The 13,812-nt window shown below is 40.2% G+C and overlaps 1 protein-coding gene across 8 annotated transcripts in view, besides 2 other annotated features; it reads left to right on the top strand.

Moving 5' to 3' along the window:
- DTNBP1 (dystrobrevin binding protein 1) overlaps nucleotides 1-13,812 on the top strand; it is a 140,252-nt gene that overhangs the window by 48,084 nt on the left and 78,356 nt on the right. The gene's annotated exons all lie outside the window — the stretch shown is intronic.
- Nucleotides 1,897-1,966: an enhancer, noted in NCBI's record as "active region_24084". NCBI's record gives its function as "activates an Ori minimal core promoter by ATAC-STARR-seq in GM12878 lymphoblastoid cells {active_cell/tissue: GM12878}" and the evidence as "EXISTENCE:reporter gene assay evidence [ECO:0000049][PMID:35858748]".
- Nucleotides 2,007-2,116: an enhancer, noted in NCBI's record as "active region_24083". NCBI's record gives its function as "activates an Ori minimal core promoter by ATAC-STARR-seq in GM12878 lymphoblastoid cells {active_cell/tissue: GM12878}" and the evidence as "EXISTENCE:reporter gene assay evidence [ECO:0000049][PMID:35858748]".

Raw genomic sequence — 13,812 nt, 5'->3', positions numbered from 1 at the left:
AAGAGGCAAATGACTGGGTTGCTCTTTTCTTTTCCTGCTCTTCTCCTCCATTACTAGAGCAGAAGGAAAGGAGCATGAGCTCAGGCTGTGGAAAGGGGCTGGAGGGCTTCAAATCTCAGCTCGGTCACACACTACCTTTGAGACCTTAGGCAAATTATTTTATCTCTCTTGGCCTCAATGTCACTGATTTATGATGGGATAATGATGTACCCCTATCATAGAGTTGTTATAAGGATTAAATGAATTAATTGTTACCTAATTCAGTTAGTGCTTTGTAAATATTAGTTATAATAATGGCTGTTATCACTAGGCCAACCTGAACTGGAGATGGAAAAGGAGTCTAAGGGTAACAGCCTGCTAGACTAGCTCTGGCATCCCAAGTCCTGCAGTGGCCATCTCAGAGAAGGAAGGTACAGGGTTGGTATTTCTGAAGTCCGTGGGGAGTCAGTCTCAGAGGACATGAGACAGACTGTCATCTGTGCTGGGCGCCTCTGGAACTGAAGCTGGAGGCGGGCTTTGCTAGTTGGGAGGAAGCGGAAGTCATGGGATTGGGTCTGGCTGTGGCCCAAGAGCAGATTTGGTGGAGAGAAAGATGGATAGGTTGGGCAGAGTACACTCTTGGTGTTAGGAGTGTTGATGAGTGGAGCTGTTCTGGATCTAGGATGTGACAATAACAGGAGTGGGTTGCTATCATGGACAGGAGGAGCTGGTCACTAATATACCACCACCCCCCTACCCCCAATGAAGCTAATACATAGGTGAGGTGGATTATTGTATTGATGTTAAAATCTTCTAGAATGAGGCCAAGGGATGAGGCAGAAATGAATAGAAATGAGTATTTTAGAACACAAGTTCTCAATCAGGGTCATGTGTCCTTAGAGATGGGCACTAAATGTTAATGAGCCATAAGAGTCACCTGGGGAGAGTATTTAAAATGGGGATTCCTGGGCTTCATCCTTGGGGAGTCCATTCTAAAGTTAATTCCAGTGGAGAAAGTTGAAATGACTCCTTATTCCACAAGCCTCTAGAATGGTTTAAATTTAGAATGGTTTGAAACAGGCATTCTAGGTAATTCTGATATGGGTGGCCTGTGGACCATAGTTTGAGAGACTGCCAGGCAGGGATGGGAGATTGGGTTGTGTGCAGGCTGTAAATGGAAGAGCTTCAGAAGAGCTCCAGGGAGGCCATGGATCAAATTGTTCACAAAAGGTTGTATGTGTGCGAATTTTCCAGAGGTGCTTTCTGTACATTTCATTTGTCCCACAAAGATTGTAGGAGGGCATTTGGCAGCATTAAGAATGGAGTCCTTGGCCAGGTGCAGTGGCTCACGCCTGTAATCCTAGCATTTTGGGAGGCCAAGGCGGGCAGATCATGTGGTCAGGAGATCGATACTGTGCTGGCTAACACGGTGAAACCCTGTCTCTACTAAAAATACAAAAAATTAGCCGGGTGTGGTGGCGGGCGCCTGTAGTCCCAGCTACTCGGGAGGCTGAGGCAGGAGAATGGCATGAACCCGGGAGGCGCAGCTTGCAGTGAGCCGAGATCGCGCCACTGCACTCCATCCTGGGCAACAGAGCAAGACTCCGTCTCAAAAAAAAAAAAAAAAAAAAAAAAAAATGGGGTCCGTGTCAAAAAAGGGGCATTTTTTTTTTTTTTTTTTTTTTTTTTTTTGAGATGGAGTTTCACTGTTGTTGCTCAGGCTGGAGTGCAATGGCATGATCTCGGCTCACTGCAACCTCCGCCTCCTGGGTTAAAGCGTTTCTTCTGTCTCCCGAGTAGCTGGGATTACAGGCTCACACCACCACGCCCAGCAAATTTTTTTTATTTTTAGTAGAGATGGAGTTTCACCGTGTTGGCCAGGCTGGTCTCAAACCCCTGACCTCTGATGATCCACTCGCCTCAGCCTCCCAAAGTGCTGGGATTACAGGCGTGAGCCATCACGCCTGGCCTAGAGAAGGGACTTTTGAATGAGTGGGTGAGCCTTGTGACCCAGGGCATTTCCAGACTGATATGTGGGTGTGGGAAAAGAGGAACTTCCCTTAAGAGGAAGATAGCAGAGGTAGAAATGGTCAGGCTAGTCTTCATTGTTAAATGAAAAGTTAGAGAGACATTCTGTTGTGAAGAAGTTAGGCATGGAAATATGTTTATAATGCAACAAGAGTTTCAAGGAACATGGTAAGAAGGCCTAGAATTTTGAGAGGAAATTTTTGCAGGAGGTTGGACAGCTTGGGTACAGGTCATGTGACCCTAGAAGGTGGTTTTCTCGTGTGTGAAATGGGGATAATAATAGTACAGTACATTATAGGGTTTTAGGGAATCAGTAAAGTGCTTGGAATAGTGCTTGGCACCAGCTAAGTGCTCTGTCAGTGGCTGCCAGCTCTGACTAACTCGTATTATTACTTGTGCAGCTATAAAGAAATGGGTATTCTATATTTTTAAATAGCCCATTGCTTTTTAGCTACATAATACAAAAAGTATATGAATATTGTGATTTTTCTATCAAGATATGTTGAAATGTGATTGTTGGAAACATATGATAGCAATACCTCAAAGATATTGTGGATTCTGTTCCAGTCCACTGCATTCTGCAGTAAAGCTAGTTACATGATTTTTTTTTTGCTTTCCTAGTGCATATAAAAATTATGTTTATACAGTATGTAGTCTATTAAATGTGCACTAGCATTATGTCTTAAAGCACAATGTACATACCTTAATTAAAAATACTTTATTGCTGATGATCATCAGCCTTCAGTGAGTTGTAATCTTTTTGATGGTGGAGAGTCTTGCCTCTATGGTAATGGCTGCTGACTTATCAGGTGGTGGTTGCTGAAGGTTAAGATGGCTGTGGCATTATCTTAATTAAAATAAGATAACAATGAAGTTTGCTACATCGATTGACTCTTTCTTCCTGGAAAGATTTCTCTGCAGCATGCGTTGCTGTTTGACAGCATTTCACCCATAGTAGAATTACTTAAAAAATTGGAATCAATCCTCTCAAACATTGCTGCTGCTTTATCAACTCAGTGTACATAACATTCTATGTCCTTTCTTGTCATTTCAAAAATGTTCACAGCATCTTCACCAGAAGTAGGTTTCTTCTCAAGAAACCACTTCCTTTGCTCATCCATAGGAAGTAACTCCTCATCTGTTTAAGTTGGATCACGAGATTGCAGTAATTCAATCGTATCTTCAGGCTTCACTTCTAATTCTAGTTCTCTTGCTATTTCTACCACATCTGTAGCTATTTCCTTCACAGAAATCTTGAACCTGTCAGAGTCATCCATGAGGGTTGGAATCCACTTCTTCAAAATTCTTGCTAATGTTTGATATTTTGACCTCCTCACATTAATTATGAACATTCTTAATGGCATCTGGAATAGTTAACCCTTTCCAGAGGTTTTCAGTTGACCTAGATCCGTTGAAGGAATCATTATCTATGGCAGCTATAGCCTTACAAATTGTATTTCTTAAATAATAAGACTTGAAAGTTGAAATGACTCCTTATTCCATAGGCTGCAGAATCAGTGTTGCGTTCACAACAATGAAACAACGTTGTTCTCCTTGTTCATCTCCATGAGAGCTCTTGGGTGACCAGGTGCATTGTCAAGGAGCAATATTATTTGGAAAGGAATTTGTTTTTTTTTTCTGAGCAGTAGGTCTGAACAGTAGGCTTAAAGTATTCAGTAAACTATGCCACAAACAGATATGCTTTCACCCAGGCTTTGTTGTTACATTTATACAGCACAGGCAGAGTAAATTTAGCATAATTCTATGGATTTTCAGGATGCCTCCAAAGATTTTCAGAGTAGTAAATGAGGCATTGGCTTCAGCTTAAAAGTCACCAGTTGTATTAGTCCCTAACAAGAGAATCAGACTGTCCTTTGAAGGTTTGAAGCCAGGCATGGACTTCCTCTCTCTAGCTATGAAAGTCCTAGGTGTCATCTTCTTCCAATAAAAGTCTATTTTGTCTGTTGACAATCTGCTGTTTAGCATAGCCACCTTCATCAGTTATCGTAGCTAGATCTTCTGGATAAGCTGCTGCAGCTTTTACATCAGCACTTGCTGCTTCACCTTGCACTTTGCTGTTATGGAGATGACTCCTTACTTTAAATTCCATGAACCAACCTCTGCTAGCATCAAACTTTTCCAGCTTTCTCACCTGTTTTAGCTTTCATAGAACTGAAGAGAGTTGGAACCTTGCTCTGGATTAGGTTTTAACTTAAGGAAGGGAATGTTGTGGCTGGTTTAATCTTCTGTCCAGACCACTCAGACTTTCTCCATATAAGCAATACGGTGGGTTTGTTTTCTTATCGTTCATGTGTTCATTGGAGTAGCATTTTTAATTTCCTTTCAGAGCTTTCCTTGGCATTCACAACCTACCTAACCATTTTGTGCAAAAGGCCTAGCTTTTGGCCTGTCTTGGCTTTCGACATGCCTTCCTCACTAAGCTTGATTATTTCTAGCTTTTGATTTCAAGTGAGAGATATAAGACTCTTTCTTTCACTTGAATAATTAGAGGCCATTGTAGGGTTATTATTAATAATTGGCCTGATTTCAATATTATTGGGTCTCAGGAAATAGAGGGGTCCAAGGAGAGGAAGAGAAATTGGAGAATGGCTGGTCAGTGGAGCAGTCAGAACACATACAACATTTATGGGGCTTGTGGCACCCCAAAACAATGACAACAATATGTGCTGGTGTGTACCACAGAATTCTAGAAGGGCTCAGGAATTGAAGGCACCAGGATCTTGAAAGATAAGGTGTGTTGAAAGCACGTATGTGAAGTAAGATCCCTTGATCCTCCGCTTAGCCAGGTGATCACCCTATCCCTAGCTCATCAGGCAATGTGGAATTTCACCTGAGGGGCTCCAGACTTGACTCTAACACACTTGAGGACAGGTAGACATACAAATGTATTGAAAACAGAGGAACTAAGTGAAAGCCTACGTAGTAAACAATAAGACTGTTTAGGCCCTTTTCCCCAGTAGGTCCCAGAACTCCGGCAGCCAAACTCACATCCCCTGTGCGGAAGAATGGAGCATTCATCTGCAAAACTGCACTTGACCAGCCCACAAGAAAAGGCCTGCAGATATGGATATTTAGGTTGTATGTATGTGGTGAAACAGCTAGGTCTGCTCTTACCACCCTCTGATGCTGAGCCCACACTCTGCATAACTTCGAGTCAACTTTTGTTGCCTCACTCAAATACAAATAGACAGCTGAGGAATCATATTCAATTAAGAAAGCTTCCAAAATGAAAACAACTGAAATACGTAGACTATAAGCTAGTAAACAATATTGTTTAAAACCTGCAGAAGAACGAGAGACTGAGGAGCAGAAGAAAACTTAAAAACGAGGCTGGGCGTGGTGGCTCACGCCTGTACTCCCAGCACTTTGGGAGGCCAAGGTGGGTGGAACACGAGGTCAGGAGATAGAGACCAGCCTGGCTAACATGGTGAAAACCTGTCTCTACTAAAAATACAAAAAAATAGCTGGGCATGGCAGGGTGCACCTGTAATCCCAGCTACTCAGGAGGCTGAGGTGGGAGAATTACTTGAACCCGGGAGGCGGAGGTTGCAGTGAGCCGAGATTGCACCACTGCACTCCAGCCTGGGAGACAGAGCAAGACTGTCTCAGGAAAAAAAAAAAAGAAAAATTGTAATTAGTAGCTTCAGATATATGGGAACATCTTGTAAGAGCCCATTTTGTATTTATGAGACAAGAAAAGATGCTGTAGAAAAGGAACAAGAGAGAGCTTTTAGAAGCACATGCACCCTATAACTTAAAAGTATTAAAAAAAAAAAAAGAAGGTAGCAAAAGTAGAAAATTTCACCTGAAGCATAAGATAATGTTAAACCTCTAAGAGAACAAAAAGTCTGAGGAAAAACTAAGAATGTTAAGATAATTCATAAGTCCCATGTTTGAGTACTAGGAGTTTCAGAAATAAAGGAGTGAGAAGGAGGAGAGACAAATTTATTGAGGAAATAACATAAGGAAGTTGTCCAGAATTGAAGGATATGAATGTTTGAGTTTAAAAGAGCCCATGAAGTGCCCGACAAAATGAGTGGAGAAAGATCTGTTGTCAAATACATATTTTTGTAAATTTCACTACACTAGGAATAAAGATCATAAAAGCCTTCAAAAAAGGCTTTTATATTAAGGATCAGGAATCAAAAGGAACATCAACTTTTCAGCAACAATGCCGAAAGTAGAAAATGGTTACTAAGAATATTTACTGGGCAAAATTTTCATCAAGCATGAGGAAATAAAGTCATTTCCAGGCAGCCAAGGGCTCCAGTGTGGTGGATGTGGACACTTTGTCAGGAAGCTCCTGGAGGATGTGCTCCACACACAAGGGAGTAACCCAGGAGGAGGAAGAGCCTGCACAGAGCAGAGATGAGTCACTCCAGGAGGATTCATTCTGTTCAGAAGAGACACCAAGGGAATTTCTAGGGAGGTGGTGAGAAGCTTCAGCAATCCTAGAGAGCAATTCATATTGGGACAGGAAGGCCTTCTGGAGAATTCTAAGTAGTGTTTCCAAGGGGGAAAAAATGAAGCTAATGCATTGTCTTATCGGCGTGGCAATATTGAGAGGAGCTTTATGACTCCTTTATTTATTTATTTATTTATTTATAACTTGAATTATTAAACTCTGGTGGAGGGTTTAATGAGGAATTAGAGATAAATGTGTGTGTTTTTTTTTAAACCAAGCAAACAACAACAAGGTAGATATTAACACTGAGGGGAAACAGTTTTTAAAAAAGAGAAATAATATGCTACATGGCTCAGTCACAAACAGTATTTATGTGATATTGGAATAATTAAAAGCAGAATTGTGATAAAACTTGCTGGGGAGATGGGGGAGAAAAAGCATATTTGTGTTGAGGGGAATTAGAGGTGTAAAATAGCTAATCCTCATCTTCTCCAGCAGGAAATCAAGAAGTAATATTTAAAATTGAAAAAAGAATAAATATTAATATTTGCATATTATTTAGAAATAACAGAGGTAAATGCCAGGAAAAATAACTGAAAGAATTGAACATGGCTGCTTGTGAAAAACAGGGCAGAAAGGTGGAGAGAGCTGGGGCAGGGACTACTTGTCTTCACTATAAATACATCTCCTGGGTGCTCTTTGACTTCAGGAATGGGTATGTACTATCAACATGCAAAAATTGAATTAAACATTTTTTAATTAATTCCATATAACATTCCCTGAATTCTTCTGCATGGAATACTAGACTGAAAAGGTTGCCATTGATAAAACAGTATGTGATCAGATAAGCTCCAGAAACACTTTGCATTTGCCCACGGAGCTTTGCAGTGTGCATCAGCGTGCTAAAGGTTCTGAGAATTCCTGTGGTAAAGAAATGTTTTGCTGGGCACGGTGGCTCACACCTATAATCCCAGGACTTTGGGAGGCTGAGGCGGGCAGATCATGTGAGGTCAGGAGTTTGAGACCAGCCTGGCCAACATGGTGAAACCCCATCTCTACTAAAAATATAAAAATTAGCTGGGCATGGTGTTGCATGCCTATAATCCCAGCTACTTGGGAGGCTGAGGCAGGAGAATCCCTTGAACTCCGGAGGTGGAGGTTGCAGTGAGCCAAGATCGTGCCACTGCACTCCAGTCTGGGCAACAGAGTGAGACTCTGTCTCAAAAAAACAAAGAAATATTTTGGCCGGGCACAGTGGCTCATGCCTGTAATCCCAGCCGAAAGCGGCAGATCACTTGAAGTCAGGAGTTCGAGACCAGCCGGGCCAACATGGTGAAACCCTGTCTCCACTAAAAATACAAAAATTAGCTGGATGTGGTAGTGGGTGCCTGTAATCCCAGACACTCAAGAGGCTAAGGCAGGAGAATTGCTTGAACCCAGGACCGGGAGGTTGCAGTGAGCTGAGCTCACACCACTGCACTCCAGCCTGGGTTACAGAGTGAGACTCTGTCTCAAAAAAAAAAAAAAAAAATTTTTTTTTGACTCAGCATTTCACAACTTACTTGCTCACAGAATCAATTTGCATGTAACACATATTAACATTCTGTGACTTAGTATTCTACATAACACCATTTGAGAAATTTTCAAATACTGCCAGTGAAAAACTTTTAATTTTCTGGTTCATAAGAGATGAGTCGCTTAAAAATAAACCTTCTTCCTTTTTAACAAGATGCTATGCAAACTACACTAATGACTTTTCTTACTCTGAAGAAAACGATAATATGTGATAGAAAAAGTTGGATATGTGATATGCTTATGTGCATGCATTTTTTTAACAATGTTTGCACACCCTGTAGCTTTCCCAAAAATCCGGGCCAGAACACTGGATGAAGGTGGGGAGAGTGGGAGAATGAAAGATAATTTTTCACACTCCTCCAGTGCTAATAGGCTCTGCAATAGGCTCCTATGGCTTTTCTCATTCAGCTCCCACCAGAGCCTGTAGTGTGGGCAGGGCAGCAATTTTTGGAGTTGAGAAGGAGATTGAGTTGCATTAAGTCATCAGACTATTTAGGGGCCAGCATCAGAACCAGAGTCTTCAGTCCAAGGCTCCCACCACACCACCACACCAACCCAAATGTGTCTTCTTTTTTGATGTTAAGTTGGAACAAACTGATTGAGTCCCAGATGTTTATACCAGTGCATCTGTAGTTTCAAATGGATATATGATATTTTGTCATTCATTTGACGGACGTTCCCAGCAGAGAGAATACATTCCTGCCCCTACAAAAACAGGACTGTGACCCATTATAAAATAAATAAACACAAAATAAAATAAACGTGACAGTGGCTTCCTAGTCAGGGGATTCTCCCAGTGGGTAGGGAAATATACAGCCTAGGGATGGTTCTGATAGCTCTTACCTACCCTTGAGAAACATTTGAATAGACGGTTTAATCCACTTCATTTGTGCAGTAAAGTAGGACATCTCTCTTTAGCTAGTTATCTGAGAAAAGTGCCATCTAAGACACTTGTGTGGTTGTACGGGGAAAATACCCATAAATTGCTTTTCTAAATATTTTTCTGCATGTAAAATGATATTACTGTTACCAGTGCCTTTGTAGACTGGAACGGACATTGCCTTGATAAACAACAAAACATTGTGTAGTGGCTAGAATATGGCTATAGGCAAAGACAGGTACTCAAACCAGTAGCTAAGTTGTCAGATAGTTCAGAAGATGAGTGCTACAGCCATACGAGTCTAATTCATGGACCCCTGGCAGAAGCTTTTGTAACCAATAGGAAATACATTTTTCGTAAAGAAAGAAGAGCTAATATTTAGTATAGGAGCCAAAATAAAGAACTTAAAACCATTTACATGGATTTTTCTAGCTAGCAATTAGAAAAGTGGGCTTGAGATTTGAGGGTCAGCTTATATTCTTAGGGGTGTGGAGGAAGACAGATGATAAATTTATAAAGAAAAAAAGAATAATTTCAGACAATAATATAAACCTCAAAGGAAATAAAATGGAGTAATGGTATAGTGGTAAGGCAGGGGAGGACTGCTTCAGCTAGGGTGAGCAGGACAGGCTCTTCTGAGAAGATATGTGAGAAGAGGTTTGAGTAAGATGGCAGTCATATGAGGATCTAGGACTGTATAGCTCCAAACAGAAGGAACAGTGGGAACAAAGACCCCGAGTCATGAACAGTAGGTACGTTTAGAGATAGAGCTAAATGGAAGTATAGAATCTCAACCTTCTAGATTTTTAATCTTTCCAGTGCCACCATAATCCTTAGAGTGCTTATTGAAGTTCTCTCACAATAATTAGTTATACTTGAAATCATCCATAAGTGTGTAATTTGATTAAAATATTTCTTATTTCCAAGTTTCTAGATCCCTTATGCATCTCCTTCAGTACTTATGCTTTCCCCTTCAGTACACAGCATACCATCAGAATTTCTCCAAAAATAGTAACATCTTGAAGAACAGTGATTTTAGCAATTCTTGTTAATTATAAGTGACTCATAATTTTAACATAGTCTTCTGTTGGACTCGAAACCTGCTTAGGGGCATACTGACTCCAGAAACATTTTTCACTGATTTATCCAGACTTTGAAATTTGCTTGTCTCCTGGAACCCACCTCCTAGAAGTGGTGGTCGCTGCTGCCTCTGATGAGATTTAGTGCTTATGCATATTTTAAGGGTCCTGATTCTTTTTGCTTTATGTTTATATATCTACTATAGTTAATGCCAAGGGACTCTGCCCTTCTTTTTGTTTGTGTTTTTTTGTTTTGTTTTTTGGTAACATTTGGACTATGGACTATATTTAGAAAATCTTTAGAACAAAGTATAACAGATATATTTAAGAGATTATGGCGTATCTGTAGTGGCGTTTGACCAGTGTATGTTCTAGAGACTAACTTGCCAAATTCCTGAGCTTCAAGAAATGAGTGTTCAAGCTCACCTGCCAAGAGACTGGCAAGCTGGGGAGAAGGGGAGGTGTGGCAGGAGTGTGGCCCTCAGGCCTGGCTTTGCGGAGCTGAGAATGGGAGAGAAGAAACCAACAGCATTCTCCAGGGTAAAGATCCAAAAACGATCTCTTTTGGTTCTTCTGGAACCAAAAGAGAAGATCGAGAGCACCTTCTCTGAAGGAGCCAAGCAGCAGGGCAGTAACTAGCTTCTGCAGTTCTGCAGCAGAAGTCTGTTTGGATGCTGAATGAAAAGGGGAGCAGGAGAACTTTTCCGCAGGCAATGACTTTACAAAAAGGGAGCAGACTTCTGCATCCACCAGGATGGAGTAACAGGGACCAGATTTATTCTCTCCCCCGAAACAATGAAAAACCAGGTGAAATAAATGAGAGAATGTTTTTAAGACACTGGATTTTGGACAAAGAAGAGATGTGATGGTACCCGATAGATAGGAAACAAGTGAGGTGAGCCCTGTGATTGCCTCTGCATCCTGCCTAGAGAGAGTTTCCAGGGTGCACTGCAGGGAAGTGGACCCAGGCAGAGCCTGGCAGACTCAGAGTTGAAGAGCTAAATCTGGGGAGATCAAGGCAGCTGGAGTTTACAGGACATAGTCCCAGAGAGGAGAGAGTTTCTGAGAGGGTCTCCATGAATATTCACCTGATAATACAGGTGAGGAAACTATCCAAGGCAGGAGGGAAAAAAATATCCAAGAGGGTGAGCTAACAGTGCCTGGCACTCACACAGAGCCTCTTCCCAATAGTCGGACTGGGAAAACTCATAATTACTGAGGTATTGGGAAGTGGACTCGGTGAATTCTTGCCTCAGTAGGATGTGTAATTGGCTTTTGTCTGAATACTGCTGAAGACGTGCTTAGCAAATCATAAAGCAAGCATCAGAAGAATCAAGCTGTTTCCAAGTAAATTAACTGTATAACAAACAAAGCTCAAGAGTATTTATAGGAATATAAAAATACCTAGCACCAAACAAGATAAATCACAATGTCTGGTATCTAATCAAAGATTACTAGGAAAACATATGGAGGAAGATAGTCAATCAAAGCCATTAAAAACTGACACAGATATTAGAATTAGAAGACAAGGACAGTAAAAATTGTTATTGTAACTGTATTCTGTTCAAAAAGTGAAGTAGAGACATGGAAAATATAAAAAAGGCTGAAACTTGTATCTCTTTTCTCCATTTTCTCCTTTTACTCCCCCCTCTCCCTATTAGATGCTAGATTTTAGATGGTTCCCAGGTGGTTAATTGAAAGTAAATTGACATTTTTATTTTATTGTATTTATTATAATGTAATCACATTTACTAGGCCAATGACCTCTTGAAAACAGACTGAGAGCTATGAATTTGTTGGCTTCATAAATGTGTAATCACACCTTACATTTTCTTTTAAAATTAAACCTAAGCTTATGAGTTGGCAAGGAATTGAACTTAACAAAATTTTTGCTCTAAAGTGTCTGTTAGAGAATAAATCTTGGCAGTTTCAGACTTTATGTGTAGTCACGAGAACAGATGTAGCTAGAATATTTAACAGTTTATTAGATCCTTGGGTTGACAGTAAATAGAGTTTAGGACTGATATTTAAGTTCATAAAGCTTTATTTTGAACAATGAGTATCTGTTTGCCATTTTTAAATAATAAATGTCTCTCTAACTGGTTTACAAAATTCTTTTCGTTATCTCTTTCCTCCAGTTATGCAAATGACACGCTGGGGTTCAAGCTTTTTGTTTTTAAGAGGCATGAAAACCTAAAGTGTATCTTTGAGGTGGAGAGGAGCAGAGACTAAAGATATAGCAATCTCGAGAAAAGTTTTTTGAAATTAAGCAAAGCAAAATTATTATTATCCTGGGTTGAAAAGTAGGTAATCCTTTTTTCCAAAGTTAGATTGATTATAGTTTGTACATTATAATTTAGAGTCTGTAATAACTTTCAGTGTTTTAGAATTCATTTATTACATTTGGAATAATATTTTATGTTTTTTATGACCCATAGTTGTGTTGGAGTTTATGTTCCATCAGTTACTGTGTTTTTCAAAGATACTTTCAAAAGTATAAAATTTATCAGTTATTTTAGTCTTCAGTTGAATGTAGCTAAAACCATGATATTACCCTATGCTTTTCTCACTTTTCTGGTTTTCTTGACGGATATGAGAGCTGGGACAGGCAGAGGCACACCTGGCAGCCTGCCATACCTGCTCTGACATCGGTGGTAAGCAAGAACCATGGTGAAGTCAGCAACAAGAAAACAGTGCTCCTCCTCTCTGCTGCAGCCCTTCTCTACCCTCTCTGGGCAGTGCTCTAGCATGGCTGTGTTGGCCCCGTTTTTTCTATGGCTAAGAAGCAGGTCTCTTTTTCTTGCCTGCCTTTTACTATTACTAGTCTTTCATTCTGGCTCAGAAAAAAAAATGGCACTATAATTGTTTCAAAGGAATTGAAACAATTGCTACTGGAGATAGTTTTTTGTTTTGTTTTGTTTTGTTTTCAGACAGGGTTTTGGTATATTGCTCAAGAGGTCCTCCTGCCTCAGCCTCCCAAGTAGCTGGGATTACAGGTTTGAATTATTGTGCCCGGCTAATGCTACTGGAGAGGTTTGATACTGGATTTCAAAGAGGGACATTTTCCCCCAAAGATAGCAACATTTTCCTTCCTCTCTGGAAGTTTCATGTTATGTTCTGTTTAGGACCCTTTTTTTTTTTTTCTTTTTCTTTTTTTATTTTGAGATGGAATTTTGCTCTTGTTGTCCAGGCTGGAGTGCAATGGCGTGATCTCAGCTCACCACAACCTCTGCCTCCAGGTCCAAGTGATTCTCCTGCCTCAGCCTCCTGAGAAGCTGGAATTACAGGCATGCGCCACCACACCTGGCTAATTTTTTTTTTTTTTTAGTAGAGACGGGGTTTCTCCATCTTGGTCAGGCTGGTCTTGAACCCCCGACCTCAGGTGATCCATCTGCCTCGGCCTAGGACCAATTCTTATTATAACTGATATCAGAGAAGTGCATTATTGTCATATAAAATAACACGTTACTTTTGAGGCAGAGAAAATAGAAGTTACAGTTCTTAAGGATTAATTCAGGTAGATTTGAGAATTTATTAGTTGATCCCAATATTTTTGCTGTACATGGGTTTTTAAAAGCTAAAAAGTATCCTTTAAAATTCTTAACATTGGACTAGTTTGGGGAAAGTTAAAACACGATTTTACCTCATAATGAACTTTTAAGAATATTTCTTAATTAAAATGAATGGGCAAGGTACATGGCATACCACAGTTAAAATATTGTCGAAAAAGAAAGATTGCATCAACATTGTATAATATGAAAACATTGTTAGAGAACAAATCCATGATTCATTTGAAGTGTTTAACCTATGTTTTTCTTAGCTTTTTAAGTAACTAAGGTCCTTGA

Source organism: Homo sapiens, chromosome 6 (genome assembly GCF_000001405.40).
Source record: "Homo sapiens chromosome 6, GRCh38.p14 Primary Assembly".
Taxonomy (NCBI): domain Eukaryota; kingdom Metazoa; phylum Chordata; class Mammalia; order Primates; family Hominidae; genus Homo; species Homo sapiens.
The sequence above is the reverse complement of the archived record's forward strand: the minus strand, read 5'-3'. Positions and strand labels throughout refer to the sequence as shown.